This window comes from Homo sapiens, chromosome 5 (genome assembly GCF_000001405.40).
Source record: "Homo sapiens chromosome 5, GRCh38.p14 Primary Assembly".
Lineage (NCBI taxonomy): Eukaryota > Metazoa > Chordata > Mammalia > Primates > Hominidae > Homo > Homo sapiens.
In genome coordinates, this window is record NC_000005.10 from 179,824,792 (window position 1) to 179,835,087 (window position 10,296).

General features: G+C 51.3%; 1 protein-coding gene across 3 annotated transcripts in view, besides 1 other annotated feature; it reads left to right on the forward strand.

The window, feature by feature from the left end:
* The window catches only part of SQSTM1 (sequestosome 1), a 31,686-nt gene that overhangs the window by 18,399 nt on the left and 2,991 nt on the right, over positions 1–10,296 (forward strand). For all 3 annotated transcript variants that reach the window (NM_001142298.2, NM_001142299.2, NM_003900.5), the window contains 3 exons: positions 355–435; positions 8,241–8,455; positions 8,796–8,991. In NM_001142298.2, coding sequence (NP_001135770.1) covers positions 355–435; positions 8,241–8,455; positions 8,796–8,991 — 492 coding nt within the window. The remainder of the gene's footprint in view (positions 1–354; positions 436–8,240; positions 8,456–8,795; positions 8,992–10,296) is intronic.
* Positions 2,880–3,684: an enhancer, noted in NCBI's record as "H3K4me1 hESC enhancer chr5:179254671-179255475 (GRCh37/hg19 assembly coordinates)". NCBI's record gives its function as "activates a minimal SCP1, AML or CMV promoter by ChIP-STARR-seq in naive H9 embryonic stem cells {active_cell/tissue: H9 hESC(naive)}" and the evidence as "EXISTENCE:reporter gene assay evidence [ECO:0000049][PMID:30033119]".

Below are 10,296 nucleotides of genomic sequence, written 5' to 3' on the forward strand. Positions count from 1 at the left end.
CTCACCCTTTGGGACAAAGATGGGGATGTTTGCTTGACTTTGAGTAAATAACATATTTACTCAAGGAGGTGATCAATATTCACAGTGTACTGAGCCTGAGCCTCTGTGGGGTTGCTGAGCACCAGGGTCACAGATGAGGGGGAGATGGCACGGGAGAGTGGAGATGCTCTCTGTGCAGGGCCAGGGGGTGCAGAGTGGGAGGAAGGAGAGGGGGATGCTGAGTGGGTCACTGGACAAGATGTCCGGGTTAAAGGTCACCCGGGAACACAGGGACCTTGGCAAGAAGGTGACAGGACTGTGACAGGTATCCAAGGCATTAAAGATATCTTTATCTTATCTTTGTAAAAATCAAAGCTTCTGGTCCATCGGAGGATCCGAGTGTGAATTTCCTGAAGAACGTTGGGGAGAGTGTGGCAGCTGCCCTTAGCCCTCTGGGTGAGTGCACCTCCTTGCCCAGTGCTTCCCTAACTCAGCCTGCACTTTATGTAACTTTCACCTGGAATACTGCAAAGGAATGGGTAATTGACATGCCCTTGACACTGGTGAGGATTTGTTGCCTCAAATCAACCTTTAGTAGTGCTGGACCACGGGCAACTCAAGGTTGAATTCCCTGACAAAATTCTCGAGCTTTCTACATGGAGTGAAGTCGAATCAGCTGGCATTTGGTTGGGATAATCCCAGTGAGGGAGGGTGACCAGACTGTGGTTGCAGGTCTTGCCTGTCACCTCTGACTGCCCTCCTTTGGATGAACAATAGTCTGCAATTTCCCCTAAGCCAGGCCTTGGGATTTGGACTTTTGAGGACCTGGGTAGTAGTTAGTTGACATGCTATTTATCTTTTCCTTCTTTTAGTTTACAACCCCCAAACCTTTCTGGTGCTTCTGAGTGCTGGGCCTGCCTCAGAGCGGGGAGAAGGTGGAGGCAGGTGCTCTGGGTGACACCCGGTTCTGGTGCCTCAGGTTGCACAGTGGGTCTGTGGGGTGGGTGAAGGTGCCACCTGACCCCAGGCATGAGCTCAGGCTCTGAGACCCCTCCCTGCTGGGCTTTAGAAAGTGCCTGTTGCGTCTGGCTAAGGGTCTCGGGTGGGTGCTGCAGGGTTAGGCATGCGGCAGTGAGAATCAGTGAATGAAGCCAACTTCTAGTTCAAGATGACGGTGGATCTGTGATGGCAGATGGATCGCTGGGACACCTGCATCTCTCGCTAGACGAGTGAGCTTGTTTTTGTGACTGCAGTGGCAGGCTGTGTCCACCCAGCCTGTCCAAAGGTTGTGTTCAGTGTCTGAAAGAATGCTGCTAGGAGGGGCGTCCGAACCATGCCTGCTGCCTCCTGTGGCTACAGGGCGTGACTGCCATCTGCTCCAACTTTGCTCATTCCGATTTTTTTTTTTTTTTGAGATGGAGTCTTGCTCTGTCACGGAGGCTGGAGTGCAGTGGTGCCATCTCTGCTCACTGCAACCTCCCCCTCCTGGGTTCAAGTGATTCTCCTGCTTCAGCCTCCTGGGTAAGTGGGATTACAGGTACCCGCCACCACGCCCAGCTAAGTTTTGTATTTTTTTAGTAGAGACGGGGTTTCGCCACGTTGGCCAGGCTGGTCTTGAACTTCTGACCTCAGGTGATCCACCCGTCTTGGCCTCCCAAAGTGCTGGGATTACAGGTGTGAACCACTGCGCCTGGCCTTGCTCATTCCACTTTGAGGCGGCAGTGACATCTTGGCATTGCTTCTGAACTAAACAGCCCAAACACGCATGGCTTCTGTACTAGAGTTTAGAGGTGAAGTCAGAGAATAGGAAAGAAGAATCGCTAGTCTGTTTTTTTTTTTTTTTCTTTGAGACAGACTTTCACCCTTGTCGCCTAGGCTGGAGTGCAGTGGTGTGATCTCGGCTCACTGCAACCTCTGCCTTCCAGGTTCAAGCGATTCTCCTGCCTCAGCCTCCCAAGTAGCTGGGATTATAGGTGCCCACCACAACGCCTAGCTATTTTTTGTATTTTTAGTAGAGACGGGGTTTCACTGTGTTGGCCAGGCTGATCTCGACACCTGCCTCGGCCTCCCAAAGTGCTGGGATTACAGGTGTGAGCCACCGAGCCCGGCCAAGAATCAGTATTCTTAATGCTTTCCAAGGAGGGTAAACAGTGGAACACCGAGGTCATGATTGAGAGATCGGCTGTGCCTAAATCCTGCCACTCACTCTGGACGTAGTAAAGGTCTGAGAGATTGCCGGTGAATTTGGAGATATGAACAAGAGTCCTTCACTCAAAGAACAAAGGAGACATCCCGGGAAGTCACAAAACCAAGTCTAGGTTCAGGTAGAGACTTTTAAAACAGTGCAGATCCCCAGACCTTACCTTTTTTGATCCTGGTGAGTGAGTGTTGGTGGGGCCTGGGATTTGTCTGGGAGGCTGCCCAGGTGCTTGGGGTCACACTGTCTCAAGACCCACCTGTGCTGGTGCAGCATCTCGGAACTGAACTGGACGCCCCACTTGGCACAGACAGGAATAATCTTGCAGATGCTCAGATGTCTTTTTTTTTCTGAGACGGAGTCTCGCTCTGTTGCCCAGGCTGGAGTGCAGTGGCACGATCTTGGCTCCTGGGTTCACGCCATTCTCCTGTCTCAGCCTCCCGAGTAGCTGGGACCACAGGCGCCCACCACCACGCCCGGCTAGTTTTTTGTATTTTTAGTAGAGACGGGGTTTCACCTTGTTGGCCAGGATGGTCTCGATATCCTGACCTCGTGATCCACCCGCCTCAGCCTCCCCAAGTGCTGGGATTACAGGCGTGAGCCACTGCACCCGGCCCTCAGATGTCTTTGAGCACTAAAAGCTAAAGGCTTAAAGTGGATAGAATTGCTTTCTCCGAACTAGGGAGGAGCCTGAAGCTCTACAAACAAGGAATATTTCAGTAAAATAGACTGAGTGGTTTCAGCTGAGGAGAGCCAGTGGAGGAGCGGCTTAGACTGTTGTGGAAGTTAGGGCTAGTTTCTTTCTTTATGAGGAACTATAAGCTGGATGACTCACAGGTTAACTGCCTAGAAGGGACTGTTCCCAGAGCAGGGCCCAAAGGGGAACGAACGAGTCAACAGCTGCCTCCCGGTGGCAGTGTGTGTAGGGTAAGCGGCAGCTTTCATGTGAAGTGCCAAGGCCTTTTGGTTGGGGGGCTGAGAACCTGCTGAGGGAGCCACAACTGAGACCCAGGCTGCTCCTGGCTGGGAGGCTACAGGCCCCGAAGCCACAGGGCCCCTCCTGGTCGTGGGATCTTTGATAAACCGACACGCAGAGGCTTTGTGAGGCAGCAGGGCACGGAGCATCGTCTAGTCTTTTTTTTAAGTGAAAGCACATTTCTTAAGAAAGTAAAGGAATACAAGAATGGCTACTCCGTAGACAAAGTAGCCTGTCCAGTCTTACGACAAGGCCTGAAAATCTCACGCTTTCATCACCAAGTTGGAGAGATCCTAATTCTATAATTTCTCTGATCTGCTTACAGGCGAGTCTCATTACCCATTTACAAAGCATATGGGTATTGATTGTACTATTCTTTCAACTTTTCAACTTTTCTGTTTGTTTCAACCTTTTTTTTTTCTTATCTTTTTTTTTTTTTTTTTTTTTGAGACAGACTTTTGCTCTTGTTGTCCAGGCTGGAGTGCAATGGTGTGATCTTGGCTCACTACAACCTCTGCCTCCCGGGTTCAAGCGATTCTCCTGCCTCAGCCTTTCCCAGTAGCTGGGATTACAGGCATGCACCATCACGCCTGGCTAATTTTGTATTTTTAGTAGAGACGAGGTTTCTCTGTGTTGGTCAGGCTGGTCTCGAACTCCCGACCTCAGGTGATCTGCCCGCCTTGGCCTCCCAAAATGCTGGGATTACAGGCGTGAGCCACTGTACCCGGCAGCTTCAACCTTTTCATAATCACAAGTTGGGAAGAATAAAGGAGAAAAATAATTTAAATATTACAGATGGAGGTACTTGTAGTTAAGCCTGCTTTTACCTCTGCTCCCCCCTTAAACTCTATTGAAATAACAGGAAAGGGCTTACACAAAAAAGAAAACACCATAGACAAAGAAAGTAATAGAGGAAAAGACAAAGATGTGATCAGATTTTGGAAGATGGACATGGAGGGAGGGTGGCAACCTGCTGAGGGAAGCTTCAGAAATCTCTGTGCCAGAACAGGGCATCCTGGTGAGAAGGAAGACCATCTGTTCAGGTACCAGGAAAGGCAAGAGGTGGGAGTGATCGGGGGACAGGAACAAGGGGGGAGGGTTGAAAACCTCTAGGGAGTGTCAGCTAGAGACTTCAGGGCCCACTTGGCCAGATGATGGCTCTTGCCAACAATTGAAGGAGACCTCATGTTTAATTCCAGGAGCACCTGACCCAGGGAAGCTTCAGCATGGGATACTAGAGACAGGCCAGGGTGAGGCACCAGCCTGAAACTGGGCATCCCGAATGAGCAATGGGCCCAGCAGTCAGTTCCCTGGCCAGGCAGGAGGTGGGGAGTCCCTGCTGAGGGAGGTTGAATGCCCCCAGAGAAGTGTCCTACAGCTCCTGCCTGCCAGACCCCCAGGCACCCTGCAGAGGGAAAGTTAGTGATGGCGCTGGCCCCACAGAAGGCTTCCTGTCAACCTTAGTGCTTCAGTGGGATCAGACCCCTGGGTCACCAGCCATCTGAGGAAAGCCCCCACACATGGGAGAAAAGGTCTTAAAGGGAAGAGAATGTTAATGTCCTCAGTGAGATACAAAAGAGCATTGTCTGCATGAAAAAGGAACAGGATACTAGAAAAAGGATAACAAAGGGAACAGAATAAGAAAGTTCTTAAAATTAAAAAATAGAAAAAAAACTTCAAAAGAAGGCTTAGATTCTACTATTGTCTCAAGGAGATATTCCAAAAGCAAAATAGAGATAGTTTTTTTATCTTTCCTCTCCTCCTAATGTAGGAACAAGTCTAGAAGCCCAATATAGGATGAGTAGGAATTCCAGAAAGAATAGAAAACTGAAAGGAGGAAATGAACATAGAATGCAAGATAGTTTCTTGGCACCAGGCATGGTGGCTCATGCCTGTAATCCCAACACTTTGGGAGACCAAGGCAGGCAGATGACTTGAGCTCACGAGTTTGAGACCAGCCTTGGCAACATAGGGAGACACCATCCCCCACTTCCCGTGTCTACAAACACTATGAAAATTAGCCAGGCATGGAGTTGTGTACTTATGGCCCCAGCTACGTGGGAGGCTGAGGTTGGGGATGGCTTGAGCCTGGAAGGCAGAGGGTGCAACGAGCCTGGATTGTACCACTGCACTCCATCCTGGGAGACAGAAACAGACCTTGTCTCAAACAAAACAAAACAAAACAAAACAAAAAACAAAAATGCAAGATAGTTTCTTGGCAATGAGGCCATTATCTTCTAGATTGAAAGCGGCCCTGACAATGACTGAGAAAGACCCCACAGCAAAGCTTATCATTGTCAAGTGTCAGAACCCTGAGGATAAAGAAAGAGGGGCTTCTAAAACTCTAGGTTATTGTAAATACTTGGGAATACAAAGAGCAAACAAACATGAACAGCTAGGAGACAATGGAACAACTGATGACTCCAGAAATCAGTTAAAAAGGCTTTTCGGCCTAGAATTCTTTTGTTTTTGAAACCGGGTCTCACTGTCATCTGGGCTGGAGAGCAGTGGTACAGTTGTCTTCATCTCGTGGGCTCAAGTGATCCTTCTGCTTCAGCCTCCCCAGTAGCTGGGACTACAGGCATGTGCCACTGTGCCTAGATATTTTTTTTTTTCTTTTTCTTTCCCCACCCCCGAGTCAGAGTCTCGCTGTCGCCCAGGCTGGAGTGCAGCGGCGTGATCTCAGCTCACTGCAGTTTCCACCTCCTGGGTTCAAGCAATTTTCTGCCTCAGCCTCCCGAGTAGCTGGGATTACAGGCACCCGCCACCATGCCTGGCTAATTTTTATATTTTTAGTAGAGATGGGGTTTCACCATCTTGGCCAGGCTGGTCTTGAACTCCTGACCTCATGATCTACCTGCCTTCGTCTCCCAAAGTGCTGGGATTACAGGCATGAGCCACTGTGCCCAGCCCCGTGCCCAGCTATTTTAAAATTTTTTTGTAGAGATGGGGTCTTGCCATGCTGCCCAGGCCGATTTTGAACTCCTGGGCTCAAGAGATTTCTCATGTTGTTCTCCCAAAGTGTTAGGATTACATGCATGAGTCACTGTGCCTGGTCCAGCCTAGAATTCTATACCCAGCTAAAACGATCAAGTATCAGGGCAGAACAAAGTTACTTTCTGGTATACAGTCTTAATTATTTTAACCTTGGTTTGAACCACATGAAGAGAGAAACCCAAAATGAAGCACAGAGGTATTAGGAAACGGGGGACCTAACAGGACAGAGGGTGAACGTAAAGGGGGTCACAGCATCACAGCGCAGCCTCTGCCCAGAGAGCTGCCAGTCCTGGCTGGAACAGGAGGCTGCACAGCAAGCGGCACTCTCTATGGAAAACACCAGAACCAGTGGGGTCTCTGATCCACTTCACCCTTGTAGAAAACTATGGAGATGCTGTGGGAGAACATAGGGAAAGTTAGCAAATGCAAAGAGAAGGCAGGCTGGGTGCAGTGGCTCATGCCTGTAATCCAAGCACTTTGGGAGGCCAAGGCAGGCAGATCACCTGAGGTCAGGAGTTCAAGACCAGCCTGGCCAACATGGTGAAACCCCGTCTCTACTAAAAATATAAAAATTAGCTGGGCGTGGTGGCACGTGCCTATAGTCCCAGCTACTCGGGAGGCTGAGGCAGGAGAATCACTTGAACCTGGTGGGCAGAGGCTGCAGTGAGCCGAGAGATTGCGGCACTGCGCTCCAGCCTGGGCAACAGAGCGAGACTCTGTCTACAAAACAAAGGAAAAGAGAAGCCATTATCAGTGGTAGGAAAACAAAAAGCGATACAAAGAAATAGTCTGCTACTTGACCCAGCAAAGAACATTTAGATAGAGGTCCTAGCTGAAACATTGAATGTTCTTTTTTTTTTTTGAGATGGAGTCTTGCTCTGTCACCAGGCTGGAGTGCAGTGGCGCCAACTTGGCTCACTGCAACCTCCGCCTCCCAGGTTCAAGCGATTCTTCTGCCTCGGCCTCCCGAGTAACTGAGACTACAGGCGATTGCCACCACGCCCAGCTGATTTTTTGTATTTTTAGTAGAGACGGGGTTTCACCATATTAGCCAGGGTAGTCTCGATCTCCTGATCTCGTGATCCGCCCGCCTCGGCCTCCCAAAGTGCTGGGATTACAGGCGTGAGCCACTGCGCTCGGCCTACTGAATGTTCTTTTAACAAAAAATTGCGTCTTGGAAAGGGTAGTGGAAGGAGAGGCAGGTACTGGTCCAGAGTAGGAAGTGCGCAGATGTGAACTCCAGCAGCAGGCAAGAGCAGCGTGAGCTGAAAGGGCACAGGGAGAGTTTGGGGAGTGGGATGGGGGCAGGGAGTGTGCACCACAGCCTTTGGCAACTGGTGACTCTAAGCTGTGGGTGTGGAGACTTTTGACACATTTAATTTCAAAAATAGTGCAGGTGATTCTCCCCTCTGTCCCTGGTGAGTCACGTGAGCCTGGAGGTGTGCAGGTTCCCTGTGGGGCCAGCGTTGGGCCCTACGCAGCGCCTGCACGGCCCATCCACCTCCCAGAGCAGAGCTCCGGCGTTGAGGTGTGCGTGTGTGTCGTCGCACAAAGCCTCTGTGTGCAGGTGTCAGGAGGCACATGGCCTTCCATCACTGTGGCTGGAAGCGCCTGCCACATGTGGTATTGGCTCTCCCTGTACTTAGGGCCTGGCCCCACCTGCCGTGTGGCCCGTGTCCTGCATGGTTAGGAAAAAGGTCTCTTTCGACTTTCTGGCTCAGAAGCTGACTTTAGATGCTAGCTGAGGTTAATGTTTTACTGAATTGGAGAAAGAGAAAGGTCCAGTATCATGGGCCCACCAAGAATGTTTCCAGAAGCCACAGAGATTTGTAGCTGGGATATGGGGAGAAGCCTCTGACTCATGGGTTTGTATCGTCTGGTCCCATACTGGCTGTGTGATTGCGGGGTCGAGCTGGGTAGAACCTAGCACCTGCATCCACACGCTGAGTGCCACCATCCAGACACTTAGCTGCTTGTGGGGACTGAACGTTGAGATCTTCGTGAGTCTGTAGTCTCCACAGGCCAAGCTCCTGCTTGCAGGTGCATCCTTGGGGGAACTTCACGGCTTGCTCTTTCCTCCTCCGCCTCTAGGCATTGAAGTTGATATCGATGTGGAGCACGGAGGGAAAAGAAGCCGCCTGACCCCCGTCTCTCCAGAGAGTTCCAGCACAGAGGAGAAGAGCAGCTCACAGCCAAGCAGCTGCTGCTCTGACCCCAGCAAGCCGGGTGGGAATGTTGAGGGCGCCACGCAGTCTCTGGCGGAGCAGATGAGGAAGATCGCCTTGGAGTCCGAGGGGCGCCCTGAGGCAAGCCTGTGCCCCTCCCGCCACCTGGGACCACGGCCAGCCTAGTGATCTGTGGCCTGCACCTCCGCCTCATCCTCAGCACCTCTGCAGCCCCACTTACAAACCCGAGGGAGCTGCTGCTGCTGCAGTGATGTCTGTGCCATTAAAGTCACGCTGGGAACCTGCTAGAACTTTGTAGTTACTTGGTCTTTGTGAGTGGCCACTGTTCCCCCTAGACCCCTGCAGCCTTAACTGCACGTGTGCATGCGTGCTCCCCGACTGTCTGCCAGGAGCCAGGGCCATGGTCAGGCTTGGCCTGTTGCGCGTGTCTCCTGTGTGCTCATGGTGAGTTTTGTTCCAGGAACAGATGGAGTCGGATAACTGTTCAGGAGGAGATGATGACTGGACCCATCTGTCTTCAAAAGAAGTGGACCCGTCTACAGGTGAACTCCAGTCCCTACAGATGCCAGAATCCGAAGGGCCAAGCTCTCTGGACCCCTCCCAGGAGGGACCCACAGGGCTGAAGGAAGCTGCCTTGTACCCACATCTCCCGCCAGGCAAGTGAACCAAGAGGTTTTGTACATATTCCTACCTTTCCCTTTAGAGCATCCTGCCCTCCTCTGATTTCAGCGACACAAACAGAAGGATGAGATGTTCTCCACTGCAGGGCTGTCTGTAGGTGTGGGAGGTTAGGAGTTGGTTTTGTCCTATTATGTGTACCCTGAGCAATAGCGAGTAAGCTCTGCTAATGCAGTTCTGAAAATGTTTTTCTTTAGGCAAACTCCAGAGCCAGGAATATTAATTGTAGGAGTTTCTAAAACTTAACATGCAGACCAGGAATTAAGGCAGGTGTGACACAGAGAGGGGGCAGCACTGGGTGTGTCCCTACTACTCACACTCAAGTGCCGCCTCAGGGAGTGCTGGTCTGAGAGGGGGGGGGGTCATAGCCAAGATCCCTGTAGGAGCCAGGCAGAAGCCACCGTTGAAGTGGATGGTGTGGCAGGCAGCAGTGGGGGGGTGGGGGGTGGGGACAGCTGACAGAAACTCCTCATTGTCACATGGCAGCCGTGTGTAAACCAAGGTCCGTGTGCACAACCTGCTGTGGGCCGCCGCTGTGTGTCTTCTCTGCCTTAGGGCAGGGGATGGCGAGCTATGGCCTATGGGCCAAGAGTAGTTCTTATTTTTGTTTATTTATTTATTTATTTTTATTGATCATTCTTGGGTGTTTCTCGCAGAGGGGGATTTGGCAGGGTCATAGGACAATAGTGGAGGGAAGGTCAGCAGATAAACAAGTGAACAAAGGTCTCTGGTTTTCCTAGGCAGAGGACCCTGCGGCCTTCCGCAGCGTTTGTGTCCCTGGGTACTTGAGATTAGGGAGTGGTGATGACTCTTAAGGAGCATGCTGCCTTCAAGCATCTGTTTAACAAAGCACATCTTGCACCGCCCTTAATCCATTTAACCCTGAGTGGACACAGCACATGTTTCAGAGAGCACGGGGTTGGGGGTAAGGTCACAGATCAACAGGATAAGAATTTTTCTTAGTACAGAACAAAATGAAAAGTCTCCCATGTCTACTTCTTTCCACACAGACACGGCAACCATCCGATTTCTCAATCTTTTCCCCACCTTTCCCCGCTTTCTATTCCACAAAGCCGCCATTGTCATCATGGCCCGTTCTCAATGAGCTGTTGGGTACACCTCCCAGACGGGGTGGTGGCCGGGCAGAGGGGCTCCTCACTTCCCAGTAGGGGCGGCCGGGCAGAGGCGCCCCTCACATCCCGGACGGGGTGGCTGCCGGGCGGAGGGTCTCCTCACTTCTCAGACGGGGCGGCCGGGCAGAGACGCTCCTCACCTCCCGGATG